This window comes from Homo sapiens, chromosome 19 (genome assembly GCF_000001405.40).
Source record: "Homo sapiens chromosome 19, GRCh38.p14 Primary Assembly".
Taxonomy (NCBI): domain Eukaryota; kingdom Metazoa; phylum Chordata; class Mammalia; order Primates; family Hominidae; genus Homo; species Homo sapiens.
In genome coordinates this window covers 55,960,491-55,980,301 of record NC_000019.10, presented here as the reverse complement: position 1 = coordinate 55,980,301, position 19,811 = coordinate 55,960,491, and the positions used below count along the sequence as shown (strand labels likewise).

Below are 19,811 nucleotides of genomic sequence, written 5' to 3'. Positions count from 1 at the left end.
GCACTGTGTTAAGTGCCGTATGTGCGACTTTTCTTTCAGTCATTATAAAATCTCCATGGGAGAAGACACCATCCCAATTTTATAGATTAGCAAATTGAGGCTTAGAAAGATTAACTTGTTCATGGCTATATAGCTGGTAAGTGATAACAAACTCAGCTGTTCAGGAAGAAAAGGTGAAGAAATGAAGAAAAGAGAAGACAAAGACAAGAAAGAAGATATCAGATAGGAGAATCCCAGTTAATGGTTCCTTTAGGTAAAAGTGGGAGTTGGGGGTTTGAACAGCTACATTAAGGGAAATATAAATCCCCAGGAAACAAAAGCAGAATGGTAGCAACACCTGAAACAATAGCATTCCAGGTCCACAATCTCACTTTCTATTTTAAGAGACAGGGTCTCACTCTGTTGCCCAGGCTGGAGTGCAGTGGTGTGATCATGGCTCACTGTAGCCTCAACCTCCTGGGCCCAAGTGATCCTCTCACCTCAGCCTCCTGAGTAGCTGGGACTACAGGCATGCACCACCATGCCTAGTTAATTTTTCTATTTTTTAGTAGAAGACAGGGTTTTGCAATGTTGCCCAGGCTGGTCTGAACTCCAGACTCAAGCGATCTGCCTGTCTCAGTCTCCCAAAGTGCTGGGATTACAGGCATGCACCACTACACCCAGCCCAGCATCTCACGTTTTACAAGGAGCTTCTCTTGTGTGGTAGGTTTTGCACAGGAAACCCGGTGGAGACTTACAAAATGACCTCTTCTCTCTTCTTTTGGCTTGAGAAGGCCTCGCACAAGGTCAGAATACCATAGACTCCAATCGCATTCTTGCTCAAGTCCAGATGTCTCAGATGTTGGTTTTTGCGGAGCATGGAAGCCATGGCCTGGCAGCAGATGGAGGTGAACAGGCAGTTTTCCAGCCTGTGACACAGAAACAGACAGCAGACAGCAGAGAAGTCATCACAACTCATCTGAGAGCTCAGCCGGTGTGACGGCTTACAGCCAAGAAATCACACTGACAGGAATGTGTAATGTTGTTCCAACTATGGTCTATTCACCTATAGTCAATCAGTTTCTTTGTGTCCTTTTGGTGATTTCAGAGCAGGCTATAGTATTCCTCACTCTAAGAATTTATGAGCCAAGTATATCTTTCGAAAATGGCTTGTACCTACTTATCTTCATTCATTCAAAAGATATTTGATTCTACCTAGTGGACATTTTTGACACAAGAGTGAGCAACACACACCATCCTTGCCTTCCTGTAACTCACAGTTGACTGGGCAGGGTATTGAGGGAGGAGACAGGTAACAAAATACATGTATTCAAATAGCATGGTTTTATTGTCCTAATGGGCCAGGTGTTTGGATCTTTTTAAAAAAAAATTTTTTTTGGAGACTGAGTCTCACTCTGTTGCCCAGGCTGGAGTGCAGTGGTGTGACCCTGACTCACTGTAGCTTCAAATTCCTTGGCTCAAGCAATCCTACTACCTAGTAGCCTCCCTAGCAGCTGGGACTGTAGGCACATGCCACCACACCCAGCTCAAATCCTTCTATAAGTAAGTCACTTTGCCCTCCCACACAGTACTCACTGAAAAGTTGGGGAGGCACATCTACAAATAAGTGACCATGTCTCAAAGAGGTGCCGTGTATCATAAATACGATGCCGGCCCATAAGAGTCCTTGAACAAAGAGTAAAATTCATGGATTATTAGATTAATGGGTTAACGGGTTATCATGGGAGTGGGATGAGTGGCTGTATAAGAAGAGGGAAAGAGATCTGAGCCAGTATACAGCATGCTCAGTGACTCACTAGTGACCCTGCAGAGAATCCCCCCAGCACTAAGGCTCTCACCAGATGCAGCCCCTCCACCTTGGACTTCTCAGCCTCCACAGTCCTTTTCTTTATACGTCATGCAATTTCAGGTATTCTGTTATAAGCAGCAGAAAACAGACTAAGACAGATAGGGTCCATGAATTTTACACTGAGCCAAGTTACTGCTCATGACCAAAACTAGATTAAAAAATAATCTCAGTAACTCGCCATTTAACATTACGTATATCTCCAAATGCTATCCCTCCCCCCTCTAAAACTTAAAGTATAATAAAAAAATTTAAAAAAAATTAAATTAAACAGCAAACCCAAAGGGGACAGGTGGATGAAAAGGACCCAAAGCAGATAACTGTCTTGTTAGCCCCACAGGTATACTGGAAACATAAAATTAATTTTGTGATCTGAAAAAAATAATAATAATCTCATACAAGCAAAGGCTTAGAAAATACTGCATAAACACTTTCAAGTGTAGAAAGTTCTTTTCTACCTGAAAATATATTTCACTCAATCTAAGAGATAAATCAACATTTAAAACCCAAACTAGATTTGAGGCATCAAAGAATCATGACTGGCAGTGAATTCATACTGAATTTCATTTGAGAAGCAAATCATCAACAAAAATGAACACCATTATCCAAACTAATCCTGGAAATGAAAGATGTTCTACAAGACAATAATTTAAATGAGCTAGATTAAATACCAAGACTATGCTAATGGAGAGCAAAAAATTTGGATTGAAAGAGGTAAAATTAGATTCATTTTTTGATCATGAGAGGAGATGTTTACAAGTCTTTTCCAAATACTTAAGGTAACCAAAGAATTAAAAACAGAACGAATGCTTTTATATCACTGGCTGGTATACATGTTAGCAAAGAGACCACAAAAAACAGGGAAATATATACATTATATATTTTCATATATAAATATATTAATATAATTAATATATATTTTAATATTATATATAAATATATAATACATATATTTATATAATATAAATTATGTATATATAAATATATAATATACAACATAATATGTAAGTATATAATGTATAATATATTGTATATTTACATATATTTACATATAATATATTCGTATTTATTTTATATATTTATATATACTTATATATAAATAATATATTGCTTATATGTATAATATATAAAATAAGTATCTACATATAAATATTTATAAAATAAGTATATATGTGTCTGTACATATATGTGTACACATATGCAGATATCTTATGTATCTTTATATACATATATATATATATGTATCTTATGTATCTTTATATACGTATATATGTATATATGTATCTTATGTATCTTTATATACGTATATACGTATATATGTATCTTATGTATCTTTATATACATATATATGTATATATGTATCTTTTTTTTTTTTTGAGACAGAGTCTCACTCTGTGGCCCAGGCTGGAGTACAGTGGTGTGATCTCGGCTCACTGCAAGCTCCACTTCCCAGGTTCACACCATTCTCCTGCCTCAGCCTCCCGATTAGCTGGGACTAGAGGCGCCCACCACCACGCCCAGCTAATTTTTTGTATTTTTAGTACAGACATGGTTTCACCGTGTTAGCCAGGATAGTCTCGATCTCCTGATCTCATGATCCGCCCCACCTCAGCCTCCCAAAGTGCTGGGATTATAGGCGTGAGCCACCGCGCCTGGCCACATGTATCTTTATATACATATATATGCATATATATGTATCTTTAGATACATCTTTATATACATATATATTTATATATGTATCTTTATATACATATATGTGTATATATATATCTCCTAAGTGTAAAATTCAATTTCAGACCAGTCATCTCAGATATCAGTCTAAAAGTGACAAACTCTTTGTTATCTTTTATTCAACTGGAAGAATATTTTTTAAAACAATTGTTAACACAGATTGCTGCATCCCACCCTCAGAGTTTCTGGTTCCCTAGGTCCGAAGTGGGGCCCCAAAATTTGTGTGTGTCCTGCCCAGGCGAAACTGCTGCTGATCCACACTTTGAGAACCACGGCTCAGAAGCTTCCCAGTTCTCCAATTCAATGGAGGGAACAATCCAGAAACTTAAAAAGACAGCCCTTTCCTGTTATATATTCCATCCTGAGAGACGCTTATATACAATTCTCCTGGTCTCACAGGAGGAGACGAGGGGCCACTTACTCCAGGATCTGTAATGTACAGTCAGGGTTCTTCAGGGCCTCACACAGCAGGATCACCCCATCATCCTTCAGGCTATTAAAACTTAGGTCAAGACTTTTCAGGGTTTTATTTTTACAGAGCGCAGAGATCATATCCTGACAGCAATTAAAGGTCAAGTCACACTTTCTCAGTCTGCAAAGAAACACAGGTTAAAAACAACAACAACAACAACTACAACAAAACAACAACAACAACAACAACGAAAACACCCTTAGGTTTTACTTCTTTGTTTTTGGGTTCTGTTTTTATTTGTTTGTTTTGTTTGTTTGTTTTTTGTTTTTGCATAATGGCATAACCAAGATGCAATTAATATATCACACAATTCACCCACTTAAAGTGTACCAAATATTGGTTTTCAGTCTATTTATAAAGTTGTATGATCATCACCACAATTTTAGAATATTTGTGTAAGTTCGGTTTGGAATATTTTTGTCACCCCTAAGGAAAACCCTGGATACTTTAGAAGCCACTTCTCACTTCCTCCCCCAACCCACCCCAACCCTAACACCACTAATTTGCTTTCTTTTTCTGGATTTGCCTATTTTTGGCATGTCATTTAAATGGAATCATGTAATATGTGACTTTTTGCGTTTAGCTTCTTTTATCTACCATAATATTTTGAAGATTCGTCCATGCTGTAGCATGAATCAGTATTTCATTTAACAATTAAATAACATTCCATTGCGTGAATACACCATACTGCCTTTATGCCGTCATCAGGGCACAGACACAGGTTGTTTCCAGGTCTTGGGTATTATGAGTACTATGAATAATGCTGCTGTGAACTGTGTGCAGGTTTTCATGTGGAGGTGGGTTTTTATTTCTTTTGTGGATACACCTACTAGCAGGACTGATGGCTCACGGATTAAGTCTGTGCTTCACCTTTTGAGGAACTGCCAAAGCTGCTTTCCAAAGCAGTGGCACCGTTCCCTGCTTCTTTTTGGAGAACTAACAGTATCAGTGTTTCAGGGGGTATTTTGCGCCACCTCTTGCCTTTCACAAACATTTGCTGAGAGTTACTATGCTTGGGGCATTGAATTAGGGGATGGGAATTCACGCAGGCAGAGCCCCTGCCTTTTAGCAGCTCATATTCTCATGTGAGACAAGAAATAAAGAGGGGATTCGATGGTTATGGTTCGGTGATGTCCTAGTAAACCAGCTCTCTAGAGCAAACAAACAAAAGCCCTCATGTGTAGTGATTGCCAGTTTCCATGGTGCAAACACTTCTGCCATGGCTGATTTCAAGCTGTGAAAATGAACTACCTCGTGACAGAGCAGGAGCACCGTGATCTCGGACAGACACTGGCACTTTAAGTTCCAGCTCCCTTTCTAACCTCATGCATTTCAAGGAAATCATTTCTCTCCTAATTACAAGCAGCCAGAAAGAACAGACAGTAAAACACAGATAAGACAGCTAGGGCACAGAGGGAGGTGGGGGGAAAGTCTCTCGGGTAACTGCCAAACTTCACATTCATGCCACGAGCCCCAGTAAAACAATGGGCCTTTTTTCTTTCTTTTTTTTTTTTTTTGAGACAGAGTCTCACTCTGTCGCCCAGGCTGGAGTGCAGTGGTGCGATCTTGGCTCACTGTAAGCTCTGCCTCCCGGGTTCATGCCATTCTCCTGCCTCAGCCTCCTGAGTAGCTGGGACTACAGGCGCCCGCCACTGTGCCCGGCTAATTTTTTGTATTTTTAGTAGAGACGGGGTTTCACTGTGGTCTCGATCTCCTGACCTCGTGATCCTCCCGCCTCGGACTCCCAAAGTGCTGGGATTACAGGCCTCCCAAAACAGTGAGCCTTAATAGCACATTCCTTTCCCTTCAGGTGCACTAAGATAGGGAAGCTAAAAGCAGACTCAGGGGATATGCCTGCAGCTGCAGAAGGATGTATGGGAACAGACACACAACTCTCCCTCCCAGATAAGCACAACCAAGAGTCACAGAAGCAGTCCAAGCCTCTGATAAATATTCCCACCCTGAATCTTTAAAAACTCTTAGTCTATAAGAGAGTGTAGCTCTGACCTAACTCGGCCAGAAGCCCCTCTCAGGTCTGTTTTCTCTAAAATAAACCTGTCCTTAACTGTCAAGCCACCTTTTGTGTTTCTTTCCTCTTTCTTTAATTCTTACACCTCGAGGTAGTCGTTCTTACAGTGATGAACAGATAGATCTCAATATTCCTTAAATTTAAAATACCCTGCAGTCCTTCTGAGTTCACTCCTGGGTGTCTTGGTACACAGTTTGAGAACTCTGCCTCTAGATCACTTGTCCCTGAATCAGAAATAATAACCCTCCTCTTTATTGTGCTTTTCCCCTCAGTGCTAGCACCATGCCTAACACGCAGTAGGCACTTAATAAATATGTGACATAAATGAATATATAACAGGTTCTCTTCATCACCCTGTTCTGCTCCAGGGAATTCAGAGAAGAAAACATTCTGGGACTTACACCAGCCTCTGCAGAGGACATCTCAGGTGTGGCAGGGCATTCCAAATATGCTTGGCCCCTTCATCTTTCAAGGCGTTTTCTGCCAAGCTCAGGTGGGTCAGCATCTTACTCTGCCTGAGACAGGAGGCAAGGCTTTCACAAGTAAGCTGTGTAAGGTTGCAGTTCTCTATCCTATGGGAGAGAAGCACACAGATGACTGAATGGAGAGGGGTCTTTGTCTCACACAGAAGGGTGATCTTCTCAGTCAGGGCTCTCCCTCTGGATGCAGAAGCATCCTCACACCTCTGTCATCACCACTCAGGACTTCCAAGCTTTCAAGGAAAGGACAGCAGCTTCGATGTGGGAATGGTGGGATGAAGGCATTGTGGATCAATAAAACTGATAGACTAAAAAGCTTCTGCACAGCAAAAGAAATAATCAGCAGAGTTAACAGACAGCCCACAGAGTGGGAGAAAATCTTTACAATCTATACATCTGACAAAGGACTAATATTCAGAATCTACAAAGAACAAATCAGCAAGAAAAAAAAATCCCATCAAAAAGTGGGCTAAGGACACGAATAGACAATTCCTAAAAGATACACAAATGGCCAAAAAGCAAATGGAAAAATGCTTGACATGACTAAGTATCAGGGAACTGCAAATTGAAACCTCAATGCAATACCACCTCACTCCTGCAAGAATGGCTATAATCAAACAATAAAAAGAAAGGTGTTGGTGAAAAAGGAACACTTTTACACTGTTGATGGAAATGTAAACTAGTACAGCCACTGTGGAAAACAGTGTGGAGATTCCTTAAAGAACTAAAAGTAGAGTGACCATTTGATGCAGCGATCCCACTACTGGGAATTCACCCAGAGGAAAAGAAGTCATTATATGAAAAAGATACTTACACACACATGTTTATAGCAGCACAATTTGCAGTTGCGAAAATATGGAACCAGCCCAAATGCCCATAAAACAACAAGTGGATAAAGAAAATGTCACACACACACACACACACACACACACACATACACACACACACACACACCATGGAATACTACTCAGCCATAAAAAGGAACAAAATAATGGCATTTGCAGTAACCCAGGTAGAATTGGAGACTATTTTTCTAAGTGAAGTAACTCAGGAATGGAAACCAAACGTCGTATGTTCTCACTCATATGTGGGAGCTAAGCTATGAGGACACAAAGGCATAAGAATGACAGACTGGACTTTGGGGACTTGGGGGAAAGGGTGGGGGGTGGCAAGGGATAAAAGACTACACATTGGGTACAGTGTACACTGCTCGGATGTTGGGCGTGCAAAAATCCCAGAAATCACCACGAAAAAGCTTATTTATGTAACCAGACACCACCTGTTTCCCCAAAACTTATTGAAATAAAAATTAAAACCTGAAAAAAAAAAAGACTAGGTGCAGTGGCTCACATCTGTAATCCCAGCACTTTGGGAGGTCGAGGCAGGTGGATCACCTGAGGTCAGGAGTTCAAGACCAGCCTGGCCAACGTGGCAAAACCCCGTGTCTACTAAAAATACAAAAAGCAGCTGAGTGCGGTGGCAGGCACCTGTAATCCCAGCTACTCAGAAGGCTCAGGCAGGAGAATCACTTGAAGCAGGGAGGCAGAGCTTGCAGTGAGCCAAGATCACACCACTGCACTCCAGCCTGGGCAACAGAGCAAGATTCTGTCTCAAAAAAAAAAAAAAAAAATTAAAACATAGAAAATAAATATATGGGATTAAGAGAGAAGAGAAAGAGACCATCAAAGAATAAATAGCAGACAAGGAGACGGCTGAGGAAGAGACATAATTTCGGAAGTTATAAAAAAGGAAAGACGCATTAAATACATGGGAAGACATGCAAATCAGATAAACTAAGATGAACAGTCAGATGATAAAAAAATAGTCGCTAGTAATCAAGGAAATGCAAATTAAAACCATAAGGTACCATTTCCTGCCCAACAGATTGGCAATAACAGTAACAACAATACTGATAATAGTAAGACTTGGATAGGGATCTGGAGTTAGGAGCACCTTCATACCCATTGCTCTGGCCAATTCGTACACTCTGGAAACAAACCTACTAAAACTGAAGATGAACACTCACCAAGGCCCTGCAATTCTTTTCTTAGAATGTTCATCACAGTGTGTGTGTGTGCGTGTGTGTGTGTGTCTGTGTGTAGCCAACAATTAGAAACAGCCCAAATCTCAACTGTGAGTAGAATGAATAACTAAATTCTTGGATCTTCGTATCAATATCATTCTGTAGTGAAGAGGAATTAACTATAGAAGCAACTAAACAGATGAACACTAAGATATAGATCAGGGAAAAAACACATCACAGGTGATACTTTTATGTAAAATCCTTTTTTTTTTTTTTTTTTTTGAGACGAGTCTCACTCTGTCATTCAGGCTGGAGTGCAGTGGTGCGATCTCGGCTCACTGCAACCTCTAGCCTCCTGGGTTCAAGGGATTCTCCTACCTCAGCCTCCCGAGTAGCTGGGATTATAGGTGCGTGCCACCACACCTGGCTAATTTTTGTATTTTTAGTAGAGATGGGGTTTCACCATGTTGGCCAGGCTGGTCTCAGACTCCTGACCTCAGGTGATCCGCCCGCCTCGGCCTCCCAAAGTGCTGGGATTACAGGCATGAGCCACCGTGCCCGGCCCTTTTATGTAAAATTCAAAGCAACACAAAACGATGTGATGCCTGTTTAAGGATACACGGGTAGTAATATTAATACTATACATAAATTAAGGAGCCTGATCAACCTGATTCAATATGTCATCACAGTGGGGTCGGGGGCAGGGTCAATAAAACCAGTGAGGACAGGCGAAAACAGAACTGATGAGTTCTATTTCATAAACGGGATGATGGATACATAGGACTCATTATGCTTGATATAGAATATTAGGTATAAATCCGTACTTTTATGTAGATATGTTATTTCTCTTTCATTCTTGGCTGGACCCTTATTGACCTATCTATATAATTACATCAATCACAAGACTTATGTTTGCTCCTATACATGTACCTTCCCTATGACTTCTTTTCTCACAGAAGCACTAAATCTACCAAACAACCACCACAACCACAACCACAACCACAGCCACTAGAAAGGAGACTTACGACAGCCTCTCCAGCTGGGCCACAGACAGGTAATACGCCCCACAGTTCTCCAGGGAGTTTTTTCTTAGTATGAGAGTCTTTAGATGCCCGTTACCTTGAAGATTATTGCCAAGATCAGTCCAAATTCTAGGGGTGGCCAAGCAGTCTTCCAACCTGTAGAAGCCAGATACAAATGCTGAGCCATGGTTCTGGGGAAAATGGTACCTGTAGGACCTCCTGGATTCCACTGTCTCATGTCTCAGTCTTCACAGCAGAGACTCGGGGGATTATTTCCAACTTTCCGGCCAGCACACCTGCACCAAGCTCAGGAACTTCCTCCCAAGTCATCAGCAAAAACCAACACACTCTTGGGGCTGTCATCAACTGGAATACAATAACGACTGAGCTCTAACTATTTCCATTCAGCTCCTTGAAATACAAATTTTAAAAAAAGTTAGTTGGAAAAATATAATTGTGTATATTTATAGGGTCCAATGTAATATTTTCATTTATGTGTATATTATAGAAGGCATCAATCAAGCTAATTAATACATCCATCATCTCACCAATTTAATCATTTTTGTAGTGAGAATGTTAAAAATCTACTCCATTAGCAACTTTGAAATAATAGGTTATTATTAGTTATAGTCACCCTGCTGTGCAATAGACCTCAATGCTTATTTCTCCTGTCTAACTCACACTTTGTGCATTTATCTGCCAGTCATCATCAAGGTGAAGAACTGAGATCCAGTGACGTTAGAGAAGGTTTCCTGAGTCTCACAGCCACTGTCTTCTCGGGCTGGATTTCGGCCTCAAGGTGGGCTGTTTATATAAAGACATTCAGTGAAGCATTGTGCTTACCACCTCCAGGTTCCAGCCACCTGAGCTTTCTGTTCTGTGCAAGAAAGGTAATGAAATGCGGAGATTATCCAAGCTACATTCAACTCTGTTGGATGTAAAGGAGCAACGCTGGCAGATGAAAACAAAATGAGAGGTCATACAAATTCTGTTGAGAGAAGGTTCGCACATGGAAAGGCTGGAAAGTGGGGTCTGAACTAAAGGTGGAACTACCATTCGATCCAGCAATCCCACTACTGGGCATCTACACAGAGGAAAAGAAGTCTTTATGTGAAAAAGACACTTTCACATGCATGTTTATAGCAGCACAATTCACAATTGCAAAGATATGGAACCCACTTAAGTACCCATTGACCAAAGAGTGGGTAAGGAAAATGTGGTATAGACACACCATGGAATACTACTCAGCCATGAAAAAAGAATGAAATGATGTCTTTTGCAGCAACTTGGATGGAGCTGGAGGCCATTATTCTAAGTAACTCAGGGATGGAAAACCAAACGTCGTATGTTCTCATTTACAGGTGAGAGCTAAGCTATGATGATGCAAAGGCATAAGAATGATGTAATAGACTCTGGGGACTTGTGGTTGGGGTGAAGGTTGGAAGGAGGTGAGGGATAAAAGACTACACATGGGGTACAGTGTACACTGCTTGGGTGACAAGTGCACTAAAGTCTTAGAAATCACCACTAAAGAATTTATCCATGTAACCAAAAATCACCTGTACCCTAAAACCTATGAATATAAACAAACAAACCAAAAAAGTACAGTCTGAGTAGGTGTGTGGCAGTAAATGTCTAACCACTGCCATTCTGGAAGAGGGAGTCCTGGTGTGCAGTGTTTGCCAGTGCCTGTTGGGTAAATGCCTCTGCCATGGCTGATTTTCAGCTCAGAGTGGGAGGTCACTGAGCGAGGAGTGGGAGGAGGTGCAGAGTAGTGCACCATGACATCATGTTTCCACCAAATGGGTATGGTAGACAATGGCAGCCCCAGGGCAGTGGTCAGGAGCTGGCAAGCAGTGGCTCGTGGGCCTCCTCTGGAGTGCCACTTGGTTTTCTACAGCATATCAACCAAGAATGTTTTCTAATAAAACATTATTTTATTTTATTTATTTATTTTTTGAGACAGAGTCCTGCTCTTGTTGCCCAGGCTGGAGTGCAATGGTATGATCTTGCCTCACTGCAACCTCTGCTTCCTGGATTCAAGCGATTCTCCTGCCTTAGCCTCCTGAGTAGCTGGAATTACAGGTGTGAGCCACCACAACTGGCTAATTTTGTATTTTTAGTAGAGACAGGGTTTCACCATGTTGGCCAGGCTGGTCTCAAACTCCTGACCTCAGGTGATCCACCCACCTTGACCTCCCAAAGTGTTGGGATTACAGGCGTGAGCCACCGTGCCTGGCCTATTTTATTTTTATTTTTTGAGATGGAGTTTTTGCTCTGTCGCCCAGGCTGGAGTGCAATGGCGTGATCTCGGCTCACTGCAACCTCCGCCTCCCGGGTTCAAGCAATTCTCCTGCCTCGGCCTCCTGAGTAGCTAGGATTATAGGTGCGCACCACCACACCCAGCTAATTTTTGTATTTTTCGTAGAGACGGGGTTTTGCCATGTTGGCCAGGCTGGTCTCGAACTCTCAACTTCAGGTGATCCACCCACCTCAGCCTCCCAAAGGGCTGGGATTACAGGCATGAGCCACGGTGTCCAGCCGCCACAAAAATTTTTAAATGGTTAAAAAAATTATTAAACGAATATTTTGTGACATATGAAAATTATATTAAATTCATGTTTCAGTGTTCATAAAGTTTTATTGGAACACAGCTGTATCCATTTGTTTACCTACGAACTCCGGCAGCCTTAGCACTGCAGTGGCAGAATGGAGTCATCATGATGATGGCATGGGCCCAGAGGCCAGAAGTGTTTCTTACCTGGCTTGTCATAGAAAAAGTTTGCTGCACCCTAGCAGTGATAATAATGAACCATAAAATGATTAGGAAACAATGCATTTTGATAATCTATGACTTTTGTTGTTTAATATATTTGTAAGCCTATGATTTAATTTTTAAAAACGTTGTTTAACAACTGGCTCATGAAATTCCTGAATGATGAAAAATCAGCTCTTTCAGGCTGCCATGTGATCCAGCCATCCACCACTGGTATATACCCCAAAGAAAGGAAATCAGTCCATCGAAGAGATGCCTGCACTACCATGCTTGCTGTAGCTCTGCTCTCAATAGCTAAGATTCAGAAACAACCTAAGTGTCCATCAACAGACAAATGGATAAAGAAAATGTGGTACATATACACAATGGAGTACCATTCAGCCATGAAAAAGAATGAGATTCAGTCATTTGCAACGACATGGATGGAACTGGAGACCATTCTGTTAAGTGAAATAAGCCAGGCACAGAAAGACAAACAGCATGTTCTCACTTATTTGTGGGATCTAAAAACCAAAACAATTGAACTCATGGACATAGAGAGTAGGAGGATGGTTACCAGGGGCTGGGAAGGGTAGTGGGAGGGTGGAGAGCAGGGGAAGGTCAGGATGGTTAAAACCATTTATGCCTAGGATTCCATTATTGGAATGCTAAGCACTTGGGAGTTATTTATATCTCACTGCTCAAGGTCATCACCAAACTCTGATTGAAAAAATTCAAAAAATTGCAGCCTCGGGCATAAACGGGTTAACAGGTTGAAAAAGAATAAGACCTAGTATTTGCTAGCACAACAGAGGAACTATAGTTAATAATAAATTGTACATTCCAAAATAACTAAAAGTATAAATCAATTGTTTGTAATACAAAGGATAAATGTTTGAAGGGCTAGATCTCCCATTCTCCAAGATGTGATTATTTTACATTGCATGCCTGAACCAAAACATCTTACGTACCCCATAAATATATATGCCTACTATGTATTCACAAAAATTAAAATAAAAAGTTAGAAAATATCCAGCTTTTGCAATCCAGTAGGAGCTGGGGCTCAGATTTCCTGGTATCAGACGGATCTAGAGCATGGTCAAATTGCACTTTTTATTTTTATTGTTTTTAGACAGAGTCGCCCTCTGTCGCTCAGGCTGGAGTGCAATGGCACGATCTTGGCTTGCTGCAACCACCACCTACCGGGCTGAAGCAATTATCCTGCCTCAGCCTCCCGAGTAGCTGAGATTACAGCCCGTAATTACAGTAGCTGAGATTAGCCTGCCACCACGCTGGCTAATTTTTTGTATTTTTAGTAGAGATGGAGTTTCACCATGTTGGCCAGGTTGGTCTCTACCTCGTGATCCTCCCGCCTCAGCCTCCCAAAGTGCTGGGATTACAGTCGTGAGCCACCGCGCCCGGCCCAAATTGTACTTTTAAAGTTGAACAAAGCCAACAGCAGATCAAAGGAAAGGACAGAGGGAAACTGAGCCTCTCATCACCGCCCTTGAAAAGACCATCCGGGTACCCCGGTTCCCACTCTAACCCCCCTCTCAAATCTCACCTGAGACACTGCAGACGGCACCGGGGGGATCTCAGCACCCTGCATAGAAGCTTCACAGCTTTGGACTCCACTTCCACATGTTGTATTTCCAAGTATCTCAGATGCTGGTTCCCCGTCAAAACACCGATTAAGTCCTGGTTCAACATGGTGCTATTCACACGCCTTAGGCTGGAGAGGGAAGAGCGTCTCCTTGGAATAGGGTCCCGTCCACAGTCGTAGAATTCTGTGGCCTCACAAACGAGGCTCCCGGAAGCTGCACGTGGGACAGGTGCAGTCCCACTCTCAGGGGGTTTACAACTGAATTCAGGATGCAGACATTAAAGAGTGACACAAACCTGTGATTATTCAGGTCCTATCCTGGGAAAACTGTAAGTCAAAATGAATGGCTACATTTTCTTTATCCAGTCTATCATTGATGGGCATTTGGGTTGGAACCATCATTCTCAGCAAACTAACACAAGCACAGAAAACCAAACACCGCATGTTCTCACTCATAAGTGGGAGTTCAACAATGAGAACACATGGACACAGGGAGGGGAACATCACATACCGGGGCCTCTGGGGGGGTGGGGGGCTAGGGGAGGGATAGCATTAGGAGAAATACCTAACGTAGATGATGAGTTGATGGGTGCAGCAAACCACCACAGCGCATGTATACCTATGTAACAAACCTGCACGTTCTGCACATGTACCCCAGAACTTAAAGTATAATAAAAAAAATTTAAAAAAATAAATGACTCACAGGATCAGAATTCGATTGGACTGAGGTCTACAAAGGCTTTCTTAAAGCAAAGGGAACGTCATCCTATTCCTGAAGGATTCGGAGGACTGGTTTTCCCTGCACTCTCCTAAAATCATGCTTTTGGTTTTAAAATTTTTATTTATATTTCTTTATTTTAATAACAAAGCTTAGCTTTTTTTTTTTCTTGTGAGATGGAGTCTCACTCTGTTGCGCAGGCTGGAGTGCAGTGGTGCGATCTCAGCTTACTGTAACCTCTGCCTCCCAGGTTCAAGTGATTCTCCTGCCTCAGCCTCCCAAGTAGCTGGAACTACAGGCACCCACTACCATGCCTGGCTAATTTTTGTATTTTTAATAGAGACAGGATTTTATTATGTTGGCCAGGCTGGTCTTGAACTCCTGACCTCAAGTCATCTGCCTGCCTTGGCCTCCCAAAGTGCTGGGATTACAGGCATAAGCCACCACACCCGGCCTACAAAGCTCAACTTTCTGATCTACTTTCTTTTTAGAAAAATTTTTGTAGATATGGGGTCTCACTATGTTGTCCAGGCTGCTCTTCCACTCCTGGCCTCAAGTGATCCTACTGGCTCAGCCTCCCAAAGTGTTGGGACTACAGTCATGGGCCACCACTCCTGGCCATCACACGCCTTTTCTAAAACCAGGGACACAGATTTGCCTTGCACCTCTAATGCTTATGTTCACTGCTGAATCTCTTTCTTTCTAATTAGTTGTTTAAAAACAGTTTCCTTGAGGTATAATCGATTTGATATTAAAAAACCTGCATATATTTAACATATACAATTTGATGAGTTTGGACTATGCATATATTCGTGATGCCATCACCACAACGGAGGTGGCTAACTAGTTCTTTTTTTCTTTTTTTTTTTTTTGAGACAGAGTCTTGCTTTGTTACCCAGGCTGGAGTGCAGTGGCGCAATCTCGGCTCACTGCAACCTCCGCTTCCCAGGTTCAAGCAATTCTCCTGCCTCAGCCTCCCAAGTAGCTGGGATTACAGATGTGCACCACCACACCAAGCTAATTGTTATATTTTTAGTAGAGACAGGGTTTCACCGTGTTGCCCAGGCTGGTCACGAACTCCTGAGCTCAGGCAATCCGCCCACCTTGGCTTCCCAAAGCGCTGGGATTACCGGCGTGAGCCACCACGCCCGACCGGCTATTTCTTCTACATTCAGTCAGTCCATAAGGAGGGGCCCGTTCTGTGCAACATGGAATTCAGAACTGAGTTCTCAGCTTAACATCCCTAGTCGCACCATCTTTCACAAATCACGTAACCTCTCTAAAGTTTAGTTTCAGGTCTACAAGGGAGAGCATACGACATTTTCTCCTTAGAATGGCTGTGAGAATTAATCCCATGAAATTCTCAGCCCATTGCTTGTCACATAGTACGCACTCAGTAAGCAGGAGCGAATAATAACTATCACAATAATAGGAGAGAAAATATATCTGATAATGGCCAGGGGCCATGTGATGCCTGGTGGCTTATTTCAAGGAAGGGGCCAGTGGTTCACATGGTGAATTATCGGGTTTTTGGATCTTAAAAACTCTGGAGAGATAGCGTATGGAGTGGTGGCTAAGAGAACTGATTCTAGAGCCAGATTTGACTGCTTAGTAATGATGTAAACTCATGCCTCAGTTTCTCATCTGTGAAATAGGGACACCTACTGCTTGGGATGAGTTTTAAGAGCATTCATGTGCAAAGAACCTAAGATAGCCTAGCAGACGGTGGGCAACGCATACACGCTCACTCTTACATTATAAAAAATAGTGGCTGGTTGCAATGGCTCACACCTATAATCCCAGCATTTTGGGAGGCTGAGACAGGTGGATCACTTAAGATCAGCAGTTCAAAGCCAGCCTGGGCAACCTAGGGAGACCTTGTCTCTACAAAAAATTAAAAAAAAAATTAGCCGGGCAATGGTGGGATATGCCTGTGGCCCCAGCTACTCGAGAGGCTGAGGTGGGAGGATTGCTTGAGCTCAGGAGGTCAAGGTTGCAGTAAGCCATGATCATGCCACTGTACTCCAGCCTGGGCAAGAGAGCAAGACCCCACCTGGAAAAAAAATGAAGTAGTGTTTCTCCTCTTCCATGTAAATCTCATCCTTCCCAACCCAGTTCAAATGTGCCCTCTTTGGTGAGGCTTACCCCACGCAGGCACCTGCTAACAGTGGTGTGTTAGAGAAGCACAGAGTGTTGGGGAAGACGAGCTTAAGGCTGTCTGCCTTGGAGTGATTTACCTAAGGCTTGTCAGCCACAGGATCTTAGATAAATCACTTAACCTCTCCAGCTCTCACTTTGCTAAAAAATGGGGGCTGGGCATGGTGGGTCACATCTGTAATCCCAGCACCTTGGGAGGCCGAGGAGGGCAGATCACTTGAGGTCAGGAGTTCAAAACTAGCCTGACCAACATGGTGAAACCCCATCTCTACTAAAAATACAAAAATTAGCCAGGCATGGTGGTGCATTCCTGTAGTCCCAGCTACTCGGGAGGCTGAGGCAGGAGAATTGCTTGAACCCTGGAGGGGGAGGTTGCAGTGAGCTGAGATCCAGCCACTGCACTCCAGCCTGGACAACAAAGTGAGACTCTGTTTTAAAAAAGGGGGGGGATAATAGTACATATTAATACTTCAAAGGAATGCAGCGGTGAACCATACTCAGTGCTCAGGTCGCACGTGGCTTCTGTAAGGCGGTGTCCCTCCAGAGAGTAACCACCACACCCTGGATTACACAGTGTGCTGATTCCACTTCAGGTACGGTCCTGTGGGCTTCACGTGCGGGACTGCATTTCATCTCTCTGTCGTGATGATCATTTAATTTTATTTATTTATAGTTTGTTTTGAGACAGGGCCTCACTCTGTCACCCAGGCTGGAGTGCAGTGGCCAGATCATGGCTCAACATCACTGCAACCTCTGCCTCCTGGGCTCGGGTGATCCTCCCACCTCAGCCTCCCAAGTAGCTGGGACTGGTCTCGAACACCTGAGCTGAAGTAAATAGGCGTGAGCCACAGCACCGGGCTGAACATTTTATGGATGGGCGCATTGAAGTGCACCAGGGAGATGTCAGGAATTCCGTGACCCACTGTGTACACCATTCACTTAAGGACACAGAGCTATTAAGTTGGTGCAAATGTCACTAATGGCAAAAACTGCAATGGCATTTGCACCAAGCTAACAGTAACTAGAGACAGATCGAGCCGTCAGCCTGGCTCCCGTGTGTGGTTTCCTTCACCACGCACCCCATGACTCATTCCTCCTGCACCTCCGTCCAAGGCTGGACATGGGTGCTTTCCGGAAGTCTAGTGTGAGTGGAGAGGGAATGAAGAAAGTGGATGGGAAACAGACCATCTCCATAAAGTTCCTTCCAGTGGGATTTGTGTTATACTCACAGTAGCTTTTGCAGTTTGCACTGAGGGTGCCTCAGTGCGGCCGCGAGAGCCTTCAAAAAAGGAGGCCCCAAAACACTGTTGGTCATAGTCAGGACTTCCAGCTTATCATTCGTTGCAAACACAGAGCATAAGTCTTGCCACCAACGATGCAGCCCATTGCTCTCTGGCGCTCTACATGGAAGGGAGAAGAGAGAAAACACCTCTTCGTTAAACTGGAGAAAATCTACTAGGAAACCCCAGGGCTGGTGTTCCCTATCCTGGTTAGGGCCATAGGCCTCTAGTGACTCTAAGACATCCTCATTTAAATAAAGCACTCAGAAAAACCATCACGAGGTTTCTCATTTCATTCCAGGGAGACTCATGGTCACAAATAAGAGCCCTGTATTTTCCCATGACTTGGAAAAAAGGAAGTTGCTTTTATTTTTTATTTATTTATATTTGAGACAAGGTATCACTCTGCCGCCCAGGCTGGAGTATAGTGGTCTGAACACAGCTCGCTGCAGCCTCTAACTCCCAGGCTCAGGCAATCCACTTCATCTGCCTGAGGAGCTGGGGTTACAGGCACACGCCACCACACCTGACTGATTTTTGTATTTTTTGTAGAAACAGGGATTCTCCATGTTACCCAGGCTGGTCTTGAATTCCTGGGCTCAAGCGCTCCTCCTGCCTTGGCCTCCCAAAGTGCTAGGGTTACAGGTGTGAATCACCGTGCCTAACCAGGAATTGCTTTTTTAATTACATGAGATTTATGTGGGGGGCAGAGATTGAATTATATTCTGTACCTACATTCTTACCCTGTGTATATATAATTCTTATTTTTTAAAAAAATATAGGATCAGAATAAAGGAAAAATTAATCTTTTTGACACAGTGAGTACAAGAAAGAAAAATCCAGAGCTAGATTGGCATGTAGTTTGGCCGTAGAAGGACCTGCTGACTTTCTCTTTCATTCTTCCCCATACAATCGTTTCAGAGAGGCTGACCAAGATACACATGTGAAGATTGCTGTTGGTTGCATTAAAGAAATAGTTGAAAGTGGCCGGGCACGGTGGCTCACATTGTAATCCCAGCACTCTGGGAGGCCAAGGCAGGCGGATCACCAGGCCAGGAGTTCGAGACCAGCCTGGCCAACATAGTGAAACCCTGTCTCTACTAAAAATACAAAAAAATTATACAGGTGTGGTGGTGGGCACCTGTAATCCCAGCTACTTGGGAGGCTGAGGCAAAGAGAATCGCTTGAACCTGGGAGGCGGAGGTTGCAGTGAGCCAAGATTGTTCCACTGCACTCTAGCCCGGGTGACAGTGTGAGACTCTGTCTCAAAAAAAAAAAAAAAAAAAAAAGAGAAATAGTTGAAAGCAACCCAAAAGTATGTCAAGGGGGAAATAGTTTAATCATCTCTAGCACACCTATTTTTCAAAGAATACTTCATTGAAAATGGCATGTATAGACATTGCCAAGACACATGAGATGAAAAAGCAATTTTTAGAATATTTACACTAGCGTAATTTTTGCATAAAATTTAAATCCCATGAAATAGATTCATCCATTTTCACATCCGTCAAATACATAGAAATGCAAATAAGTAGGAATGATATCAACTCCCTGCAGGAACCCATACAAAAGTGATCAATGGACTAACCAACATGAAAGAAATATGTCGTGTCTTAAGATTTCTACGGATGTCAGGTCTTTACGCAGCATCATAGAAAGACATTGTGATTCACTGTGCTTAGATTCTTGAGGTCTT

The 19,811-nt window shown here is 42.7% G+C and overlaps 1 protein-coding gene across 2 annotated transcripts in view, besides 1 other annotated feature; it reads right to left on the bottom strand.

The window, feature by feature from the left end:
- Positions 1–19,811, bottom strand: part of NLRP8 (NLR family pyrin domain containing 8) — a 40,798-nt gene that overhangs the window by 8,328 nt on the left and 12,659 nt on the right. The window contains exons 4-9 of one of the 2 annotated variants that reach the window (NM_001317000.1): positions 18,065–18,235; positions 13,922–14,089; positions 9,606–9,758; positions 6,480–6,593; positions 3,999–4,169; positions 738–908 (exon numbers count right to left, since the gene is read on the bottom strand). In NM_001317000.1, coding sequence (NP_001303929.1) covers positions 738–908; positions 3,999–4,169; positions 6,480–6,593; positions 9,606–9,758; positions 13,922–14,089; positions 18,065–18,235 — 948 coding nt within the window. Of the gene's footprint in view, positions 1–737; positions 909–3,998; positions 4,170–6,479; positions 6,651–9,605; positions 9,759–13,921; positions 14,090–18,064; positions 18,236–19,811 lie in introns of both variants that reach the window. The other variant, NM_001433706.1, reaches the window with a different exon arrangement.
- Positions 9,962–11,161: an enhancer, noted in NCBI's record as "BRD4-independent group 4 enhancer chr19:56480507-56481706 (GRCh37/hg19 assembly coordinates)". NCBI's record gives its function as "activates an origin of replication core promoter dependent on BRD2, P300/CBP, MED14 and CDK7 cofactors, and independent of BRD4, by STARR-seq in HCT116 cells {active_cell/tissue: HCT116}" and the evidence as "EXISTENCE:reporter gene assay evidence [ECO:0000049][PMID:35650434]".